This window comes from Homo sapiens, chromosome 10, assembly GCF_000001405.40.
Source record: "Homo sapiens chromosome 10, GRCh38.p14 Primary Assembly".
NCBI lineage: Eukaryota > Metazoa > Chordata > Mammalia > Primates > Hominidae > Homo > Homo sapiens.
In genome coordinates this window covers 65,809,840-65,834,586 of record NC_000010.11, presented here as the reverse complement: position 1 = coordinate 65,834,586, position 24,747 = coordinate 65,809,840, and the positions used below count along the sequence as shown (strand labels likewise).

Genomic DNA, 24,747 nt, shown 5'->3' with positions numbered 1-24,747 from the left:
TTTGTTATTCTGCTTATATATGTTGGTTCACTTTGCCAAGAAATTCCCTCAATCCCATTCCCCTTTCATACTGATAAATAAAAGCTGTCTATAATTCAAAGTTCAATTTATATTTTCTCTAAGAAGCCTTTCTACATCTCTTTACCTGAAGCATCTCCAACATTCCAAACTTCCATAGTAGAAGGTAAACCTTCATTGAGCACCCATTATACTCTACTCTTTTATTAAATTATGCATACAAGAATTTATTTAGCTTAATTGTATTGTGACTTTATTTTTTATTTTGTGGGTATATAATGGGTATATATGTATGGGTTATATGAGACATTTTGATACAGGCATGCAATGTCTAATAATCATATGTGGGTAAATGGGGTATCTATCACCACAAGCATTTATTCTTTGTGTTACAAACAACCCAGTTACACTCTTCTAGTTATTTTTAAATGTACAGCTAAATTATTTTTGATTATACTCACCCTGTTATGTTAGCCAATACCAGGTCTTATTCTATCCTAATTATATTATAAATGACAGGAGGTCAGGAATTATGGTTCTGTTATACTAGTGTCTTCTGCAGACTCCACTAAAATAAGCATTTGCTGAATTTATGCTGTATTCCTCTATTTATAAATACAGTATACTTAGTTTAATAAAATTCAAATTACATTTTATGATATCATGTAAAGCAATAAAAATTCATGCACTATAGAAAAATATAATTGTTCTACTTCTAATAAGATAGTTAAATAGAAAAATAATACAAGATACCATAATGACTAATAATGTCAATTAAGGACCACAGTAATAAAGGACCACAGTAATATAAAACAGGATAACAAAATTGAAAAAAATTTACATTGATTATTTTTGATACTATTGCATCCTTTAGAAAAAGATAGTCAACACTAACCCTTCATAAAATCTACTGCAATAATAATTTAAATAATGGTTTTGATTTTATTTTGTGTCCATATTTCATTAATTAAAACATTACTCGGCCGAGCATGGTGGCTCATGGCTGTAATCCCAGGACGTTGGGATCCATCCACGAGGTGGATGGATCACCTGAGATTAGGAGTTTAAGACAAGCCTGGCCTACATGATGAAACCCTGTCCCTACTAAAAATACAAAAAAACAGCTGGGCATGGGGGTGGGTGCCTGTAATGCCAGCTACTGGAGAGGCTGAGGCAAGGAGAATCGCTTGAACCCAGGAGGCAGAGGTTGCAGTGAGCCGAGATCACACCATTGCACTCCAGTCTGGGCAACAAGAGTGAAACTCCATCTCAATTTAAAAAAAAAAATTACTCAAAGAGAAAAGCATACGCGTTAGCAGAAAATACTTTGAAATTTCCCAGAATGTAAGCTATCTTTTTCAAATTAATGACGTAAAGTTATATATGAGAAAAGGTCTTGGTGGGTAGGGGGGATTGAGGTTTCATAAAATCAGTGATTAAAATATTTTAATATATTCTTTTTTATATTTATTTAGATATCACCTACATTTAAAGCAGTTATTTGGTAAATTCTGCTTTATTTCTGATAATAGTAGACAGAGATGAGAAGTAACAATAATGTTTTCAAATACCTAAATGCCACCTTTTTTTAAAAAAAAAAGCAAATAGAATTCTTGTGAACTTCCTTCTGACATTTTTAACAAGTTTTTCTGTTCACATATTGTTTTTATTAAAGCATTTGCATTTGCACTTTGTGAAATAAAATTTGATACACCAGAAACCTGTTCCACCATTATCTCTTGAGACCTTGAGGTAATAAAAAGTTCATACTACAGCTCTTCATCTTCTTTTACAACTACTGCAAATAAAGGGCACCTATCTGGGACACAAAAACCAAAGAGAAGAAAAATATGTCATTTTGCTTTTGCTATTGTTGATGATGATGATTTTAAAGATGGCAAATAAATACACTGATTTTTTTATCTCTTAAAATGGTCCATCCAAGGCATTCCCATGTAACCTTTCCATATTTAAAATATTAAGTTGAACATAATGCCCATTCAAAAATATGTTCTTGGCACACACCAGACACTTAAATGCAAAAACAAATTTCTTTTTTTTTTTGAGATGGAGTTTTGCTCTTGTTGCCCAAGCTGGGGTGTGATGGCGTGATCTCGGCCCACTGCAACCTCCACCTCCCTGGTTCAAGCGATTCTCCTGCCTCAGCCTCCCGAGTAGCTGGGATTACAGGCATGCGCAACCACGTCCGGCTATTTTTTTGTATTTTTAGTAGAAACGGGGTTTTTCCATGTTAGCCAGCTGGTCTTGAACTCCTGACCTCAGGTAATCCACTCGCCTTGGCCTCCCAAAGTGCTGGGATTACAGGCGTGAGCCACCGCACCCGGCCAACAAATTTCTTATATGTTGAAAGTACTGACTCTGAACAACTGGAGTATAGCTAGCACATCTCTGAAGTTTGGAAACTGACATAGGCAAAGCAGATCACCAGAATGTAATTACATGTGGCTGTAGCTAAACTATCCTTGGTAGGCACTTCTATATTTATAATGTTACTAAATAAATATGAAAACACATTATATTTATCCACCAAGGTTATTTTCTAGAAAAATTATGTTCTACACAATTTAAGAAAGTAATGAAGAATGTTTGGCATAACTATAGTGTCATGAGTATAAAAGGTAATGACCAACTTCTCTTAGCAAATGGACACATTTTTTTAAAATTTGCCTATGAGATTGTCTATGAAAATAAATGTTTACTAGAGAAAGTCAGATTTAGCAATACTAAATATGTACTTGAATTATTTCTCATATGAAATTTACATGGAGGCTGGGTGCAGTGGCTTACACCTGTAATCCCAACACTTTGGGAGGCCAAGCTGGGCCGTCAGGAGGTCAGGAGTTTGAGACCAGCCTGGCCAACATGGTGAAACCCCGTCTCTACTAAAAATACAAAAAAATTAGCAGAGCGTGGTGACACGGGCCTGTAGTCCCAGCTAACCAGGGGCTGAGGCAGGAGAATCGCTTCATCTAAGAAGGCGGAGGGTGCAGTGAGGTGAGATTGCCTCACTGCTCTCCAGCCTGGGTGACAGAGCGAGCCTCCCTCTCCAAAAACAAAAGAAGAAAAGAAATTCACATGGAATTAATGTTTATCTAGTATTTATTCCTCCTATGGTAAGAGTTTTATATATTATCATAATGATAGGCCAGAATTTTAAATGCACTAAGAGCTGACACATAATCTGCTGGTTGAATGAAAGAACTTAGCTAATTCCATGGAAACTTCTAATTCTTTTTTTTTTGTTGTTGTTGTTTTCTTTTTGAGACGGATTCTCACTCTGTCGCCCAGGCTGGAGTCCAGTTGGCGCGATCTCGGCTCACTGCAACCTCCGCCTCCTGGGTTCAAGCAATTCTCCTGCCTCAGCCTCCCAAGTAGCTGGGATTCCGTGTGCCGCCGCACCTGGCTAATTTGTATTTTTAGTAGAAATGGGGTTTCACCTTGTTAGCCAGGATGGTCTCGATTTCCTGTCCCTCGTGATCCGCCCACCTCGGCCTCCCAAAGTGCTGGGATTACAGGCGTGAGTCACCGCACCCACCCAGAAACTTCTAATTCTTAAAGGACCAAGAGATATGCTTATGAAGAGAGCTGCTTCTTAGAAGATTGTTATAGGGGACTAGATGAAGTGAGTATTTGTATGCACAATGTTTGTATAAATTTAGAAGAAGAACAAAATTAAGATAAGTCAACATTTGTTGAGCACCTTTTGTGTAGGAGTGTTAGATTTTTCATTTAAAGAGGTATCGCTGATGTGAAAGGAAACTAATATCATTACAATGTGATGAGTGCAATAAGTGAGGTAGGCTTCAAGTGCAGCAGGATCTCAAGACATGAGAAAGGAGGGATCTAACTATGGGAGGCATGTGGGAACCTAAGGTAACCTAGATTTTCCAACTAGTTGTTCATTTCATATTTTAATTTTAAAAGGGATGGAGTTCCTTGGTACCTGGCTAAATGAATAAAGACCAATATTTTTGTCTTTCTTTTTTTAATTTTTATTTTTTTGAGACAGAGTCTTTCTCTGTCTCCCAGGCTGGCATGCAGTGGTGCCATCTCTGCTCACCGCAACATCCCCTTCCCGGGTTCAAGCGATGCTCCTGACTCAGTCTCCCTTGTAGCTGGGATTACAAGGTGTGTCACCACGCCCAGCTAACTTTTCGTAGTTTTAGTAGAGATAGGGTTTCACTGTGTTGGCCAGGCTGGTCTCAAACTCCTGACCTCAGGTGATCCACCTGCCTCAGCCTCCCAGAGTGCTGAGATTACATGAGTGAACCACCATGCCCAGCCTATTTTTGTCTTATTCCGCATTTTAAGGAATTCATCAACATTTAAAAAGACTATAAACAAGGTGGAAAAAACTTCTATAGAATATAAATATACAATATTCCACTCTAATTATTTTTTTAAAAAATTGTCTCTTCTACATCTCTGCCATATAGGAAACATTTTGCAACCATGAGCAAAACTGGAACAGTTGCTAAAGTTCTTAGGCTCAGAGGAGATTGGACAGCTAGTCCTCATTTTGGCCCGGATGGACTTCACTTATTGCAGCCATTTAAGTCTTACTTCCTTCTTGACCTGGGTATAATCAGTCTCTTACAAGGACCCTAATTTGAAAATACATACTATATAATTCTTGAATATTTTCTTTTCTTTATATTATAATTTTGTCATTTAAATGTTATGATATATATATTTTATTTACTCAACTATATCAGTAATCATTTTGGTGTGGGAATGTAAATTGTAACTATAGGTAAAAAGTATACATCTCAAATAACTATGTAGATTTACTGTGGAAAACAAAAACTCCAGAATATCTGATAGAAAAATTCAACATTTTAAAGAAATATCATGTAAAACTTACATTTTATTAGTTTAAAAGTAGAATTTGATGTCTGTGATATGGGGTAGCAAAAAAATGTAGAATTTAAAAATGAGTAAAAATTCATGGAAGCAGTTATTTTTATTCTTATTGTTATTTCTATTATTATTGCAGGCTAAAATTGGATAAGCATATTTGAACAATACTTTCCTCCTCTCCCAGCCCCATATCCATATACATCAGCTAAATATTCATGATGATTTTACTTATATTGTTCTTCTGGTAATGGTACTAGATCACTGATGAATACCCCTCCTTTGATTTGTCATTTTTAAGACATGTATATGAATTATCTACAGTAAAAACAGATTTATTTATACACATGGCAACGTAGAATATATGTACATATGGTTAAACCATACAAAATTATCATTTTTAAAGGTCCAAAATAGTTAATGCTTACTATATGTCAGATATATAATGTAATTTTTAAATTTTATTTATTTATTTATTTATTTATTTATTTATTTATTTATTTATTTATTGAGACGGAGTCTTGCTCTGTTGCCCATGCTCATGCTGGAGTGCAGTGGCGCAATCTCGGCTCATGCAAGCTCCGCCTCCCAGGTTCACACCATTCTCCTGCCTCAATCTCCCAAGTAGCTGGGACTACAGGCGCCTGCCACCGTGCCCGGCTAATTTTTTTTGTATTTTTTAGTAGAGACGGGGTTTCACCATGGTCTCGATCTCCTGACCTCGTGATCCTCCTGCCTCGGCCTCCCAAAGTGCTGGGATTACAGGCGTGAGCCACTGCGCCCGGCCATATAATGTAATTTTTGTATATTATTTATTCCTCCAAATAACTCCATTAGTGTAGTTATTTTCAAATTTTCTTCTTTAAGGAAATGATGACAGAGAGAGCTTAACCTGTCCAAATTACAATAATTAAATAGCAGGATTTAATCTCTGCAATTCTGAGGCAGGATTGTATGCTCTTAAAAACTGCAATGTATAAATACCACCTACTGGTTATTTTAATGTATTTAAATTAAAAACTCAGGCCTCTTAATCTAATACTAAAGATTTAAAATATTTTTTTCTCGATTTTCTATGTGTATTAGCCTATTTTCATGCTGCTGATAAAGACATACCCAAGACTGGGAAGAAAAAGGTTTAATTGAACTTACAGTTCCACATGGCTAGGAAGGCCTCAGAATCATGGTAGGAGGTGAAAGGCGCTTCTTACATGGTGGCAGCAAGAGAAAGTGTGGAAGATGCAAAAGTAGAAATCCCTGAAAAAACCATCAGATCTCGTCAGACATATTCACTACCATGAGAACAATATGAGGGAAACTGCCCCCATGATTCAAATTATCTCCCAGCGGGTCCCTCCCACAACATGTGGGGATTATGGGAGTACAATTCAAGATGAGATTTGGGTAGGGACACAGAGCCAAACCATATCACTATGTAAGCAGAGAAATTCAATCTCTCTATACTTTCTTGTATGATTCTCCTATCTTCCAGCCCCAGTGTTTATCAGATTAGTCATTATTTTTACTTCGTCAAGATGTATATCAAGCAGATTTTCTTCCACATTTTATACATCATAATTTTTAAAAATGGAAAACAAAGTGTTTATGTTAATGATTATGCAAATATTTACTTTAGAATAAGATAATATATTTGAATGTATAAAAATAATTTAATCCAATGTTACTAAACCTTTGCTGCTCTAAGAACAATGTTCCATGAGAAAAAATTTTACTGGTAAAGACTTCTACTTCTGACCAAGATGGAGTAATAGTGTTCAGAGTTACCTTTCCACCTAAAACTTCAAAAGTTGGATAAGATATATAAAATTATTTTTTAAGACACTGCACTGAATATCAGGAAATGAAAGAAAGTAATCCCTGGGAACTGGTAAACAAATAAAGTTAGCTTTACAATTTTCCCAGCTTTCTGCCTTGCAAGACTTTCTAAGAAGCATTGCAGTGAAAGAGAGAAGCCCACAGGGAACTGGCAGATCTCCTAAGTGGAAAAGACACAGTTGAGAGTCTGGGAAAACCAACATGCTAAAATTCACAGGGCAGAGTAACAGAGAGGAGAGCTGCACAAAAAAAGAACTCTGGAGATAGGCAGTGGTTCCTGTTAAGTATTCAGCTGAGTACTAATCAGTGCATTCCTGGGAGGAAACTACTTGAGGCCAAGAAAAAAGCACTCCACATGATTAGCACTTATGTGGGGCTGGGGAGAATGCCTGTTCTCACCAGCCAGACTAGAAAATCTCATGATTTGTGGCGTTGGACAGAGCACACAGAAATGTCTTGCCTTAGTAGTAGGGAATAATGTTCCTTAGATTAAGCACCACTGCGACCTTACCTAAGTTAGAAATCTTAAAAGCAAAACCAAAAAGGCTAAAACTGTTTCCAAGTAATTTAACAGCAACCCAGGGCAAAGATCAAGAATATGTACAGGAATATAAAATTATCCAGCACTTACAAAGTGAAATTCTCAGTGCCTGATATCCAATAAAAAATTACCAGGCATGAAAAGAGGCAGGCAAATACAACCCATAATAAAATAATAAATGAATTGAAATCAACCTAGAACTGAGGCATATGTTAGAGTTAGCAGAGAAGGATAGTAAGCCAGTTATGATTACTGTCAGGAGCTATGAAGAGTCCGAAATCTTATGGTAGCTGTGATTTAGCACGTTAACTTGCCACAGTTTTATGGATGCTCTCAGAACACATGAGAGCCCAGGCTCAAAGGACTTTATTACTCGTAGCAAAGAAAGTAGCGTGAACTCATATTTGCATTTGGGCCTCTTGCCTTCAAGTTCAGAGGTCACATAGAGGGACCTAGATGAATGTTATACCTCCAGTGGGTTTCATCATAACCGAGGAATCTTAGTTTAGATGATTAAAATCTTTTATGATGGAATGCAAATAAAACATTTTTTCCCTAGGGGAAAAAATCCACTATATTTATTATACTAATAATAAGCAAGTCTGCTGTTTGTTCCAGGAGGAGATACTGTCTCTATTTTCTAAGGTTGCTTGCTATACAACCATCCTTGAAAACATAAAGACAGTTTCTCTGCTAGCAAGATATGCAGAAATATGAGAGATTTGTATATACTCTCTATACTCTAAAAGATGAGAAATCCAAGCAGCAGATATGAAAACAGTAATGTGTGAATTGAAAATATGTATTAAAAATTTGTTTTTTATTGTTGCTTTGGTATTCATTTTTAGGCCTGACATAAGTTGTTGGAAACTTAGTCATATCTCATTACCTTTGGTCTAGTTAAAACTTCTCCATGTAGCGGTTGCAATATAGCCCACTTGTTTCTTAGCTCATTGACCCCAAACCCAACACATACCACAGCTGTTGACCACGATAAAACCTAATGGTCAACACTAGAGTCATGTAAATAAGTTCCCTACTTTATATGCGTTTTCTTTTCTATTTTTTTTCTTTTGGAGATGGAGTCTCTCTCTGTTGCTCAGGCTGGAGTGCAGTGGCAGGATTTAGGATCACTGCAAACTCTGCCTCCTGAGTTCAAGCAATTCTCCTGCCTTAGCCTCCTGAGTAGCTGGAATTACAGGCATGTACCACTACCATGCTTGGCTAACTTTTTGTATTTTTAGTAGAGATGAGGTTTCACCGTGTTGGCCAAGCTGGTCTTGAACTTCTGGCCTCAAGTGATCCACCTGCCTCCACCTCCCAAAATGCTGGGATTATAGGTGTGAGCCACCACACCCAGCCTATATGTGCTTTCTTTATACCATCTAATCCATAGCCCCTGCAGAAAAGCCTAAGGGATAACTCTCATGGGCTACATTCAAGGCATAGTCCCACAGATCCTCTTTCTCTCTTCTCTCTCTCTTGCTCCCCACCTACTGACTGAGCTCCCTGCTGCCTCCAGACTTCCTGTCAGCCTCCCCCTTAGAACTCCTAATTTACTTGAGACCTGTAAGAAATAAATTTCATCTGTCATGTATTTTAGTTTTACTTCCTCATTGTGTCTCATTGGCATGCACATTTGAACCTAACTTTTCCTCTGCTGAGGGCTCTCCTAGAGAATTTTATCTTTGCTTATGGTCACTCTTGACAGAGAGATCTCAAGACAAATTAGAAAGAAACCATAACAATAAAAATTATAACAATATATTGGATAAGATTTATTTCAGATTAGATATTTCAAAAAAGAGATTTATAAATTTAAAGACATAGCAATAGGAATGAAACAAAGAAGGAAAAGATAATGATAATAATAATGATGATGATTAAACAAGTATAACATCAATGAGCTGTGGTACAGGTTGAAGTGGCTGAATATAAATGCGATTGAAATCCCAGAAGAAAAGAGAGGAGGGGACATAAAAAACTATAGATGAAATAATGTTTTAAAAATTTCCAAATTTGATGAAAACAATTACCCAAATTTCCTAAATCCCAACAAACTTTTGTTAAGTAAGAAACTGTGAAGGGGCTAACATTTTATTTTATTTGCACACTAATGAGTCCATATACTGGCAGAATACACAAGACCTCTGGGTCAGAAAAAGAGACCATTCATTACACACATTCAAAAGAGCAGATCGAGCAGCATCTCACTTTAGTTCCACAAGGGCAAATCCCCACAGAGTGATGTGATGTGGACCAGATGTTACCTGAATTTGCAGGGAAATGGACAACAGAAGAGGAACTCTAAGGTTTACCATATGCACAGGAAGCCCCATGAGAGGTTCCTTAGGAGTCACTATAAATTTGCAGTCTAACTGATATATGTATCACCAGATAGGTCCCAATAATTATAAATAATAACTAAATACTAAAGACACCATGTATACCCCAGTTATTATACTTCTTGTGGGAAGGCCTGACATTGGCCTGCTTCCCTTATGAAAACATGGTGACTTGCCCCATAGGGGATGGTTATAAGAAACCTTTAAGTGTTTAAGAAAATGCCACCAGTAGACCTTGTAGTCTTCAGAAAGCTGTAAAGATCTCTCCAAAATGATGCTAACTGTAGTTATTCAGGAAGCTTTTCAGAAGGATACATAACTCATTATTTACATGTATTTTTAAATATTATTATTGATATAGTCATACCCCCATATTTTGGGGGTGCATGTAATATTTTTCTTACATGTATACAATGTGTTATTATTAAATCAGGGTAATTGGCATATCTATCACCTAAAGTATTTATCTTTTCTTTGTGCTGGGAACATTACAATTTGATGCTTTTTCTTACAGAAGTGACTTAGTTAGAAAAAGTGGTATGAAATTTGTCCCTGACTGTAGCTGACATCCTCAGTGGCACCATCTGGACCCTGAAAGGCACTCAGATCATCTTTACCTCACTGGCTAGGTTTGTTACAGATGATAGCACTTACCAGGCTTCCTCCTTGCAGGCCAAGGTCGGGTCTGTGCAATCACTGATGCATCCTGCTATAAGTGGATTAATGTCTCTGTCCAGTTGAGAAAGTCAACACATGAACTTAGAAAGAAATCTACCTGGTTTTCTAAGCTAGATTCTGTTGGCTCATGGAATTTATTCAGAGTAGATATGAAGCTGTAGGGGGCATGACTGAGATCAGTATTGCATGTAGACTTCATTTTGTTGTTCAGAGTCTTGTTGACAATAGTCTTAAATAAATGCTGTATGAGACAAACAAAATGCATTTGGTCCCATGCAATGTCAATTAAATAAATCAGAATTGCCAAAAAAAAGTGGTATGTACATGGGAAAATTCACAAAGGAACATAACTATATAGAAAAGATGAGTGGATCTGTTGGGAGACAATTCTCAATGGTTTTATTACATAGCCTGGGACTTCTAAGCAAAGGGGATGTTTGATTAGCAAACAACTAGAGATTTAGAGATGTACTTCCCCAGAAACCTCCCAAAGTAATAAAGAGAAATCCTTCTCTTTCCTCTCCCCAGAGACATTTGCTTAAACTGGGAGATTCTGCAGTAATCAGAATGCTGAAATGACTCCAGAGTTTCTGTCTCCCTGGTTTGCACATCTTGTGTAACCCTCTCCCCATGATTAGACTGCACATATAGCAATGGTAAAAAGAAAAAAAAAAGAAAGAAATTCCAGTGTAATTAATGTCCCTAATCAGTTGACTTTACATTAATCAACAAGAAGATCGTCCTGGGCGAGCATGAGATAACTAGGCAAGCCTTTTAACACAGCACCCAGGCTTTCCCTGAAGGAGGAGGCTTAAAGTAGTAGACACACTCTTCTGCTGATCCTGAGGAAGCAAATTGCCATGCTGTGAATTGCCTATGGAGTGCCAAGAAAGGTAATAAATAAATCACTAACAAAGAAATTAACCCAAAAAATGCATAAAAAGAAGAAAAAGAGAATGAAGGCTCTAGGATCTGAGAGTCACAGTTACATAACTTCAAGAAACCAAATGTTTCCAACCTTTTATATAATTTTTTTTTTTTTTTTTGAGATGGAGTCTCACTTTGTCACCCCGGCTGGAGTGCAATGCCGCGATCTTGGCTCACTGCAACCTCCGCCTCCAGGGTTCAAGTGATTCTCCTGCCTCAGCCTCCCTAGTAGCTGAATTACAGGTGCCCACCACCACACTCAGCCAATTTTTTGGATTTTTAGTAGAGACGGGGTTTCACCATATTGGTCAGGCTGGGCTCGAACTCCTGACCTCCAGTGATCCACCCACCTTGATCTCCCAAAGTGCTGGGATTACAGGCGTGAGCCAATGTACCCAACTATATGAACTTGAAATAGCACCCCAAGCTCCAGATAAGAACACAGATTGCAGCTTCTAAAACCTTAAGCAGAAGACATAGCTAATCCACTTGCCCAGACATATGATCCATGGAAACTTTGAAAGAATAAATATATAGCATTAAAGTTGTGGCAATTCATTATGCAACAAAAGAAAACTTATACACATGCCTTTCCCATATTCTGGGATGAGTAATGTCTCCGGAGACATATTGTGCCAACAAGGGAACTATAAAATTTGAGAGTTTTCTAAATGTTGGGGTTTTTCTCTAGTGCATCCCACTTCATGTGCAGGTAGTATGTGTCCTGTATCACATTGCTTTGTGGGGTTTGGAGCTTGGGGAACCAGCTCAAGATGTTCTGACTACTGTTTTGGTTATGAGTAATGAGTAGTCTGTTTCTCTGACCTAGCTATGTTACATTTTCTTACATAAAACAGTAGCAAGCAAACTTGTTAGCTTGTAAATGAAGTAAAATATGAGACAATTCAGTTTAACAATCACAAGCACAAAATACATGAACTATTATATATTTTGTGACATCAAAATTAAAATGGCTCAAATCCATTGATAACAAATATTAAAGATACTAGAAAAAAGGACACACTGCATGCAAAAGAAAAAAGATCAAAAATAACTGCAGATTTATCACTGAAAATAATGCAAACACAACAGTGGAGCAATATGTTCGAAGCATTAGGAGGAAACATTTTTTTTTGTGAGATGGAGTCTCACTCTGTCACCCAGGCAGGAGTGCAATGGCATAATCTCGGCTCACTGCAATCTCCACCTCCTGGGTTAAAGTGATTCTTCTGGCTCAGCCTCCTGAGTAGCTGGGATTACAGGTGCGTGCCACCACTCCCAGCTAATTTTTGTATTTTTAGTAGAGACAGGGTTTCACCATGTTGGTCAGGCTGGTCTCGAACTCCTGACCTCATGATCTGCCCACTTCGGCCTCCCAAAGTGCTGGGATTACAGGCGTGAGCTACCGCATCCCGCTGGAAACTTTTAAAATATAGAATTATATACTTAGTAAAACAATTTCTTCATAAATGAGGGCAAAATGAACACCGTTTTAAACTTACAAAAACTTTAAGAATTCATCACCAGTAGATTTATACTATAAGGAATATTAAAGAAAGCTCTTCAGGCAGAAACAAAATGATATCAGATGCAAATCTGCATTTTCTCAAAGGAGCTTAAGAGCATCAGAAATGGCAATTGAATATATAAAAATTTTTCTTACTTAAATAGTTTTAAAGATAATTTGCTGTTAAAATATAGTAAAAATGTAGTGTGGAGTCTATGTATATATAAAGATGAAATTCATGACAGGAAGGATGAATAAAAGAACTGAAGTATAGTCCTATAAGTTTGTCATAACATACATGAAATGTTATAATATCACTTCAAAGTAGACTCTACTAAGTAAAAGATACAACCATAAATCTTGAAACAATCATTAAAAAACATCAACCGAAAAGGTAGCAAATTAAAAAAAGAATAAAACAGAACCATTAAAAAATAATTAACCCAAAAGCAGGCCATGAAAAGAGAAAAAAGGGGGCTGAGACTGATGGGGAAAATGTAAAGTAATTACCAACATGATAAATTTAAACCTAACTACATTAATAATCACATTAAATGTATAGAGTCTAAGTGTCCCAGTTAAAAGATAGATACTATGACATAAAATAGCAGGACCCTACTATGTTGTGTTTACAAAAAAAAATCACTATAAGTATAAAGATACATATCAGTTAAAGTAAAATAATAGAAAAAGATATACCATGTGCTGTTAATACTAATCAAAGTAGATTTTAGAGCAAAGAATATTACCAGTAAGAAATAAATGTGATTTCATAAAGCAAATAGACATATTCAGTAAGAGGACATAGGAATCCTAAATGTTTATGTACCTAATAACAGAACTTCCAAAGAAATGAAACAAAAATTGACAAACTGCAAAGGAAATAGACAAATTCTCAATCATAGTTAAAGATTTCAATGCCCTTTCTCAGTAACTGATAGAAAAGTAGAAAGGAACTCAATAAAGATATAAAAAATGAATGACATTATTAACAGACTTTACTTAATTTACCTGTTGACATTTCTAAACTTACCTCTGTCCTGAACAACAGCAGAATACAGATTCTTCTTACATGTATACAGAACATAATCAGGGCCATAAAGAAACCCTCAATAAATTTAAAAGGATCCATGATATACAAAGTATGTTCTCTGAAAACAATGGAATTAAATTAGAAACCATAGAAATACCTTTGGAGAATGAATGGATATCCAAATAGCCATCAGTCAAATTACAAAAAAAAAAAAAAAGAAATTAGAAAGCATTTTGAACTTAATGAAAATTGAAACATAACAAGAGAATTTGGAAGTTGCCACTGGAATAGTACTGAGGAAAATAGTTGTACCACCACACATCTATATTAAAAAAAAAACTCAAGAAATAATTTAGCTTCTACCCTAAGAAACCAGAAAGAGAGCAAATGAAACCAAATTATGTAGGAACAAAAGAAATAAAATAGATCATACTAAAATCAATTAAACATAAAACATGAAAAAAATAGAGAAAAAATTTTGAAAACCTGAGGGTGGCTATTTTGGAAAATAAATAGCATTTATACATTTCTAGCTAGTAATAATTCAATTAACATGTTGAATTTAGTTTACCAAACTAAAAAAGAAAATCTATATAATTAACTCAGTAAATGCGGGAAACTTATTTGAAAAATGCATCATCCATTTTGAAAAAAACCACGAAACAAAACAACAGCAACAACAAAACACCTCAGCAAACAAGAAATAGAAGGACACTTTCTCAGTCTGATAGTAGATGTTTTGTAAAACCTATAACTAACATAATACTTGAAGAAAAATTCAATGTTTTTCCTAAAAGATCATGATCAAGACAAGAATATTCACTCTTTCACTTCTGTTCAACACTGAGTAGAGTCTCTAGCAATCAGACAAGAAAAATGCATAGAACACATCCATATTGCGAAGCAAGTAAAATAGTCTTTATTCACAAGTGACATTATAGTCTATGAAGAAATTAGATAAAATCTATAAAATATTCATACTAGAACAAATAAATGAGTTTACTACCTTGCAGAATAAAATATTAAAATATAAAATGAATTATATTTTATTTACTAGCAATGACAACAAGAAATTGACATAGAAATACTATTTACTGTACCATCAAAACAGAAAATATTTAGAAATAATTCTAACAAAAGTTGTGAAAGATTTCTAAATTGAAGAGAATAAAATGTTGCTGAAAAAAAATTAAGCATGCCAATAAGTGGAGAGCTGTATTTCTTTTGTGTATCAGAAGACTCAATCTTGTGATGAGAAGCCAATTCTTTCTAAATTGGTCTATAGATCTGATAAAATCACCATACTTAAGTTGGATTTTTCTCAGAATTGAGAAGTTGATTCTAAAATTCATCTGGAAAGAGAAAGGACCTGAAGTCAATCAATATAATTCTTTATCTTAACAAAGGAATAAAATTTAAAAAATCAATGGATGAATAAAATACATTTAGTAAAATGTATCTCTCTTTTAAAATAAAAACTCGCAGCAAAGTAAATATTTAAAGAGTAGCCTAAGTCTATTAAAGCTGATGTCCTAGTTATCTCATATTATTTTCATGGCCTCATCTAGACAGTTCTTAACTTAATGTCTTTTATGTGGTTGCTATTAGTCATCTGAGGGCTCTCGATTATGTTCAAAGTGGCCATGTTTCATGACTGGCAGTTAATTCTGGCTGTTGACTGAAAACTCAGTTGGTGCTGTCAATTGTAGTACCTTTACACAGCCTAGCCATGTAGCTTGGATTTCTTACACCATGGTGGATGGGTTCTGAGAGAAAGTATCTGGAATGTAGGCACTCCACGAAATTCAGGCAGAAGCTGCACAATCTCTAATGTCCCCAAACATCACTTCTACCACGTTCTACTGTTCAAGCAAATACCAAACCCAGACCCAGACCAAATTTGGTGGTGGGGGCGGGGTAGGGGAGAGGGCAGAATTTGACTCTAGAAAGCATGTAATACAATAGATATTGTTATAGCTTTCTTTGGAAAATAAAATATGCTATAGAATATCTAAAGAAGCCTCCATCTACTATCAAATGTATTTGTGAAATATTGAATATTCACCCCAAAATCAGACACAAATAAAAATTTTCACACCTATTTATTTTATTTCACAGGAAGTTCTGGTCAATGGCATAATAAATATTTTTAAAAATGGAAAAAGTTATAAAATTGTCCTTATTTGCAAATGCCATCATTGTGTGCACTGAAAATTCAAAGGAACATAAATAAAAACAAACTATTAAACTAATGAGTAAATTTTAAAAGGCAACTGAATAAAAGTTAATATAGAAAAGATAAATTGATTTGCATACTGGCAACTCAAACAGAAAACTAAATTTACACAAACAATATCATTTATAATAAAATATTGAATAAACAATATATTTGATGAAAATATGCAAAATATTTAAATTAAAAAGTATAAAATATTGACAAAAGTAATTAAACACCACCCAAATATCAAGAGATATGTCACAGATTGGAAGACTCAATTACTTAGAAGTCAGTTGTCCCAGAATTGATCTATAGATTTAATGCAATCCCTGTCAAAATTCCTCAGACTTGTCACAGAAATTAACAAAATTAAAAAAAAATTATTTGTATGGAAGTGTAAAGATATTTGAATGCCCCAAAGAATTATGAAGTAGAGAAACAAATAGGATAACCAATACTGCTTGATTTCAAAGTTTATTAAAATGTTATCATGATTAATAGAATGGATATTGGCATAAAGACAGGCAAAATGATCGGTGTAACAGAAAAGAAAAAAACCCATACATATATTGTCAATTGATACTGTCAAAAACATCAAGATAATTCAATAAACAAAGGAAAATATTTTCAATAAATGTGCTTGAAACACTAGATATTGTATAGAAGAAACTTTGTTGTCTACTAAATCATAACACACAAATTAATTTGGTATGAATCACAGGTATACATATGAAAGTTAAAAATACATCTAGAAAAAAAATTGGAGAACATCCTCACTATTCAAATAAGTTTCCTGCATTTACTGAGTTAATTATATAGATTTTCTTTTTTAGTTTGTTAAACTAAATTCAGCATGTTAATTGAATTATATTGATCAATTTTTAACATTCAACTTTTTATTTCTTGGAAAATACCCAGTTGTTCATGATGTATTTTTTAATCTATTGTTTGATGTCTTTGTTGAAATTCAGTTTGCAATCTTTGCATCTATGTTGATGAAGGGTTATCACTTTGAACTTTTCTTTTTCCTGTCTGATCAGGTTTTGGTAACATTTTAATGCCAACCTCATTGAATGAGTTTAAAAAAAATTCCTTGTACTTCAAATTTATGGAAAAGTTTCTGTAGAATTGATACATTTCCTTCAATAGTTTACAGAATTTGTCGGTGAAGTTATTTGAGCCAGAGATACTTGGGGAGTAGAATAGTTTTAGGTATATAGCCAATTTTCTTAAAAGATATGGAGTTCTTTACAAGAATCCTTAGGACACAAAATCTGAAAACAGAAATTTAAAAAGCTTAAGTGAACTTTATGAAAATTGCAAATTTCTCTTCATCAAGAACCAGCATTCATGGCATTTAAATAATAAGTCACAGATTGGAAAAAAATTTTTTGAAAGAATTTATCTAACAAGAGTCTTATAGCTAAAACATATTACGCATACTCCTACAAATCCATAATAAAAAGATATATACATTAAAAATAGCATTTTACAGAGAAGATATCAGAATGGTCAATAATCATATGACTTCAAAAGTTATCAAGGAACTAAAATTGAAAGCACAATGAAATATTACTCTACATCCACTTGAATGGCTAAAATTACATGAAAAAATTGTGACAACACCAAATTTGGGTAAAAATTGTGTCAAATTGGAAATTTACATTTGTGATGAGAGTATAAAATAGTGCAACCACACTGGAAATCTCTTTGTTGGTTTTTAAAAAATTAAATATTGTCTGTCTCATGATTCAACATTTCCAGTCTTAGATAACCCAATATGAATGAATATATACATAGCCACATTCACAGAAGCTTTATTGTAATAGCCCCATATTTGAAACAACCTAAATAACCATCTGTGTTTTTGGCAAGTCATGCAATAGAATATGGCACAGAAATAAAAAACAAGACAGCTATAACCAGAATGTGAAAACACTATGTTGAGTGAACCCACATACAAAGATTACATCCTATTTAATATCACATGGAAGCATTCAAAGACCAGACAAAGCTTATCTATGACAATAATTAGAACGGCAGCTTCCTCTGTGGAAGAGTGGATTGACTTTTTAGGGCACAAGGCAACTTCCCGTGGTAAGAAAAATATTCTGTATGTTGAACTGGATAATGTTTATTTATATAAATTTATAAAAATTACATTTTAGTTATAGGAATTTTATTATATAAAATTATAAAATCTTAATAAAATACAGAATAAACACTTAAAATAAAAATAACACCTTGATAAAATACTACAAAAAACAAATGAAAAATAAATTGCTGATTCTTATAAACCAGTGCAGTGCTTCTTTTATTTTGCCCATGTCAAATTTCTACCTTAATAACCTCCTCCTTTTTTCATCTGCTCTTCTTTCTAGATTTATTTAAAGTGTGGTTTCAGGAAATCTTAATGTACTTGCCCACTTATTTTAGGTGTTTCTACCAGACCCACAAAGAATTATCCACATTTTAGTACTTTGCACTTAATTATCTGTTGCTAATTTGGTGACCACCTCATCCTCCCTTTTTAAGTTCCCAATTCCTTTATTATGATAAAGAAGAAGCCAAGGACAACAATTCACAGAACGTCCTTCCCATGTTTCCAGGTTAAAGTTTGTCAATGAGAAAAACTCACTTGAGGCTTGGAAAGTGGAATGAAGAGATAGCACATGATTTCCTGGAGCAGTTGCGGAGACATCTGTGAGCAGGTATGGGATCTGTAGATTTTAGGTGTGCTTCTTGAGAAGTACACACGCAGGTACTGCAACCTGAGAGTTATGTGGTGCCTTCCAGTGATTTCCCTTGAGAGTCACTCACTTGCGTCTCCGAGATGATTCTACTCTGCAGCCCAGGGGCGAACCATAAATATAGCAACAGCTGAATTTTTCTGACAAACTGAAGTGTCTTTCACACTGTGAGCTCAAATTATTAATAGCAAGTTATTTGACCCTCACTCCTTTCGCCTTGCAGTGGTTGTGAAGCCTCTATTATACAATCCCTTATAATGGAATTCATACAGAACACTTTCTTCCTGAAAGCCCCATGAATGATTTAAAGACTTAATACATTTTATGAAAATTATTTCTTTATGTGTTCTACCCCTCTACTAACTTGTGTTACTTAGCTATTGCAATTCCACAAGAACTTAAGTACAGAGATTGAAATCTAATTGAATTACATGTTAAGTCTGCATCCTTGAAGAAACAAAGCAAATTGGTCAGAGTTTATTAGTTTGAATACCCAACTGCATAAGACTTGGTTTGTGATCTGAAAGTGAATTTGTAGTTAGAATTGAGGGCTCTCCTTGCTTTTCTGATACATCAGGCAGTATAGAAGATACCACCCTCCACTCTTCATCGGGGCCCTTTCCCCAGCAGCACACACAATTGGAGGTTGATGTGTCACATGGCATCTGAAATAAACTTGTGTGCTTGAATGCTATCTGCCCCATGTAGGGGGAGAAGGCTAAAAAAGGAGACTACTATCTGAATGATCTCTCAGCCTACTCTTTACTACGCTCTATCAAGAAAATCAGTTTTCACATCCTAGAGATGTCATCCTCTACCCTTGATACACATTAGAATCATCTGAGGATTTATTTTTAATGTTCAAGGTCCATGCTCAGCTACCATGATTAATCTGTGCAGTTAGTTCTAAACTTTCCCAAGTGAACTAATAAACAGACATGAATGAGAACCACTATAAGTAAGAGGGTATCTTAAGCAACATCTTGTTAGAAGCCTGTTTTTTATGCAAATTTAAACTTTACTTATAGTTAGAAAAGAAATTAAACTATCACGTACCAGCACTAATTATAATTTTTGTCAGTTTTGCTTCATGACTTTTCTTGAAGTGTCATGTCTTGAAGTGTCATTCTACTTTAGTATGCATCACCAACTCATCGATATTTCTTCCCCCAAATCACAGTATGATTATCACACCCACAAATTCCAATAGTTCCTTAATATCATCTAATGCTCAGTTCATATTCCTGAATTTTCTAAATCTCCTAATTGTCTCTGAAGTGTCTTTCTAAAGTGAGTTGTTGGGCCCGGCATGGTGGCTCACACCTGTAATCCCAGCACTTTGGGAGGCCGAGGCAGGTGGATCACCTGAGGTCAGGAGGTCGCCAACATGGTGAAACCCCATCTCTACTAAAAATACGAAAAATTAGCCAGATGTGTTGGTGCGCACCTGTAATCCCCGCTACTTGGAAGGCTGAGGCAGGAGAATTGCTTGAACCCAGGAGGAGGAGGTTGCAGTGAGCTGAGATCGCCTCACTGCACTCCAGCCTGGCGACAGAGTGAGACTCCGTCTCAAAAAAATAAAAAATAGATTTAAAAAATTATAAAGCGAGTTGTTGGAAACAGGGCTAGATATTGTTTTTTAAATCTTTAATGTAGAAAATCCATTCCCATTCCTTTACATTTTAGTTATGAACTTGTTGGGAGGAAAATACCAATTCTCTTTTAGGTTTAGCAAATGTATCCTGGTGGTATTTACATGCCACTCTATTCCCTGCATTTGTAATAAAAAGAAATTTAGATCTATGGACTTGACTAAATTCAGATTAAAAAATTAGGCAAGAATAACTTAGAGATGAAGCTGAGTATTTCATATTGTATTGCATCAGTATACATGTGTCATTTATTTCCTATTGGTTCAGATAAAATTAATTTTGAGGTTTAGATAGTTACAGTCTAATTCCTCCATTACAAAGCTTTATATCACACCAGCTTACTTTTTGGTGGACTGTGAATATTCATTTCTAAGTTAATTTTTCATATAATGGTATTAGCTTGAATAGATTATTTAGTTTATTTAATAATAAAGGGCAGTAGTGATTTTAAAAAATTATTTTATTGTATTATACTATATGTGATTCTTTTGTTAAAAAAAGCAAAAAACTATTTCTTATTAGTTATACTTATTTGGTTACCTTGAGATATAGGTCCTTCTGGAAGAACAAAATAAATAATTAAATCACCAACTTATGGGTTAAAGATTTTGTACGATAGTTACTTCCAAAAAGAATTTAGAATTATTTGGCCTACTTCTTGGCTTATTTCAAATAATCTAAAAAAATACAATGAACAATTGTAATTGAGCCATTTTTAAGCCACCAGGACCTAAATTTTGAATAAGATGTAAGCAGAGGCTCTTACCCATTCCTTAGCCCAAACCTCTCATAAATGTGGTAAATTTCTTTTCATTTACCAAAAACTTAGAGGAATTTCTGCTAAATGTAATAATAAAGTAATTTAATTTAAAAAGGCAAGGGCAACACAGAATTGTCATTCTGAGAGGAAATAGTATGCCCCAGAAGAAAGTAGAGATGAGCCATTTTAGAACACTGGAGTCAGCTTGGGGAGGGTTCCATTAAAGCTGAACTCAACACAAAAATAATATGGTAGTGACAATAACGATTGCATTTATTGTAACTCATACATTACATAAAACTGTAACTTACTAAAGTATGGTTGAAATAAAATAATGCTTGGGATTTTCTACAATATACTTCAGTGATAGGAGAATATAAATGTGTTGGGTGAAACAAGATTATACGTGTATTGGTATTGGTAAAGTGTGCAGTTTTAACACCATTCTCTTTACTTTTGTGGATTTAAATTTTTTCATTAATAATCTATGAATTCATAATGATTTTTTTAAAAACTGAGAAGTTGTATAAAGTGAATATCTCACTTTTGGAGGTAACTATCATTAATTTGACTTTTGACAGACTCTGACACTTAAATATTTAATATGCTTTTAGAACTTCAAAATGATGTTTTTTTCTATAAGAAAACATTAAAATTTCTTTCAAGCCATTAACATTTCTATCACTATTTTTCTTCTCTCTTTGACAGTTGTAAACAAAAGGATTTCTGTTTCAGTAATTTAATGGAGTAAGTTATTCAAGCCGAAGGCAGACCCAGAAGTAATAATTCTACTTAGGCTAATCTAACACTTGGCAATATAAATTGATTGTTTCTTTTGTAATTAGTTGACAGCGTGCGCCCTTGCTTGCTCTTGGCGCCTCCTCGGCCTTGGCGCCCACTCTGGCCACGCTTGAGGAGCCCTTCAGCCCACCGCTGCACTGTGGGAGCCCCTTTCTGGGCTGGCCAAGGCCAGAGCCGGCTCCTTCAGATTGCAGGGAGGTGTGGAGGGAGAGGGGCGAGCAGGAACTGGGGCTGCGCGTGGTGCTTGCAGGCCAGCACGAGTTCCGGGTGGGCATGGGCTCAGCGGGCCCCCGACTCGGAGCAGCCGGCCGGGCCCCGCTGGCCCGGGGCAGTGAGGGGCTTAGCACCTGGGGCAGCAGCTGCTATACTCAATTTCTTGCCGGGCCTTAGGTGCCTTCCCGCGGGGCAGGGCTCAGGACCTGCAGCCCGCCATGCCTGAGCCTCCCCCCATCCGTAGGCTCCTGTGCGGTCCAAGCCTCCCAGACAAGCGCTGCCCCCTGCTCCACACCGGCCCCCAGTCCCATTGACCACCCAAGGGCTGAGGAGTGCGGGGCAAACGGCGCAGGACTGGCAGGCAGCTCCACCTGTGGCCCTAGTGCCGGATTCACTGGGTGAAGTCAGCTGGGCTCCTGACTCTGGTGGGGACTTGGAGAACCTTTATGTCTAGCTAGGGGATTGTAAATACGCCAATCGGCACTCTGTATCTAGCTCAAGGTTTGTAAACACACCAATCAGCACCCTGTGTCTAACTCAGGGTTTGTGAATGCACGAATGGACACTCTGTATCTGGTGGGGACTTGGAGAACCTTTGTGTGGACACTATCTAGCTAATCTAGTGGGGACGTGGAGAACCTTTGCGTCTAGCTCAGGGATTGTAAACACACCAATCAGCACCCTGTCAAAACAGACCACTGGGCTCTCTGTAAAATGGACCAATCAGCAGGATGTGGGTGGGGCCAGATAAGAATAAAATCAGGCTGCCGGAGCCAGCAGTGGCAACCCGCTCGGTCCCCTTCCACACCATGGAAGTTTTGTTCTTTCGCTGTATGCAATAAATCTTGCTGCTGCTCACTTTTTGGGTCCACGCTGCCTTTATGAGCTATAACACTCACCACGAAGGTCTGCAGCTTCACTCCCGAAGCCAGCGAGACCACGAACCCACCGGGAGGAAGGAGCAACTCCAGACGCGCCACCTTAAGAGCTGTAACACTCACCGCGAAGGTCCGCAGCTTCACTCCTGAGCCAGCGAGACCGCGAACCCCACCAAAAGGAAGAAACTCCGAACACATCTGAAGGTAAGAAGGAACAAACTCCGGACATGCCGCCTTTAAGAACTGTAATACTCACTGTGAGTGTCCGTGGTTTCATTCTTGAAGTCAGTGAGACCAAGAACCCACCAATTCCGGACACAATAGGAATGTCTCATAAGTATTAACATATTTAAGTTTTGCTTACATGGGATAAAGTGGAATAAACCCAGATTCTAGTCCAAGCTCTATTACAGGAGCAAAGTTATTTAAAAGCCTGATTCTTTCAGGTCATGAAATAGAATTTTGTAGAGATCTCTATTTCTGCAGGTGATGGTTGGGTAAGAGGCCTGGGTAGGTGTCACACTTCCCCCTAACAATGGAATAACCAGAAAATCTTGTATGTAGTTATATTTCTTAAGAGATGTATTATTTTTTTAAAAACTGATAAATAACAAAGATAGACTTCTAGATAACTAATGTTAAAGCATAATAGAGATTACCTACTGGCTTGAATTTTGAAAAAGATAAATCCAATTTAATTCTACTTAATTAATCTGGTGTTGCCAATATTTTATTTCATGGAATAAGAGTTCCATTAGAGGCTCTGGAAAAACACAGGGAAAGAATCCTTTGGTCAAGTAAATCTGGAAAATGTACACTTACACTTGAAAACTCACAAGGCATATTTTAAAGACTTCAGGAAATATTTTGTTAAGCTCCCTTTAATCCAGTACTTTCCAAATACATCTGACTACAAAACCCTTTGCAGGTATGTAACACCTATTAATATGCTGTGGAACTAGTGTTGTTTTTCTTTCTTTTTGACAACACAAATTTATTACACAACTGCTGTGCGACATGTACTGTGATAGGCCCAGGGATTATAAAGGTGAAAATATGCACAAACTTTGCCAATATCATGTTTGTAGTCTCAAGGGTAAGTGAGTCTTTTATCTCTTCTTTATATGCCTCTCTACTCTTATTTTATTGTTTCTCAATGTGTGGGAGAAAATATATGATGGATATTTCTAAATCATCTGGGGCATATTTGTTAGAATATACCTGTCTACTCTTCCCACCTCCAGTGTTCTTCTTCCCAATATTCAAATATACGTTTGGGGGAAATAACCGTACAACAAAAATATTCTTATTGTGGTTCTAAAACCGATCTCATTTTATAACCATTGCCCTTGTTGCCAGAACTCCTTAAACCCACCCGTGATGCCTACATGTTAAACCAGGTGTTCTATATATTTCTCCCCTAATTCCTTTGCTTCTTAAACATCAGCACATATAGTCTTTGTTTTAATCCCTCTTTAATAGTAGTAATTAGTGTTCATGAGTTTTAAATTAGGCAGAAGAATCCCTCATAACTATTAAATCGCACTGCCTTTAAACCTATTTTAAAACACTCTATTAAGAAATATGGATGCCTACTCTTTGTACAATGCATAATAGAAAATGTAAAGAAGCTTAAGTCACGGAACCACCTTCCAAAAGGCCTGAGTAGTTTATGTATGAACAGTTAGGTAAGAATGAAAGACATGCATTCA

The 24,747-nt window shown here is 36.0% G+C and overlaps 1 long non-coding RNA gene across 1 annotated transcript in view; it reads left to right on the top strand.

Moving 5' to 3' along the window:
* LOC105378339 (uncharacterized) overlaps positions 1–24,747 on the top strand; it is a 145,924-nt gene that overhangs the window by 56,918 nt on the left and 64,259 nt on the right. Inside the window, exon 4 of the long non-coding RNA XR_001747476.2 lies at positions 18,591–23,239. This is a non-coding gene — a long non-coding RNA (uncharacterized LOC105378339). The remainder of the gene's footprint in view (positions 1–18,590; positions 23,240–24,747) is intronic.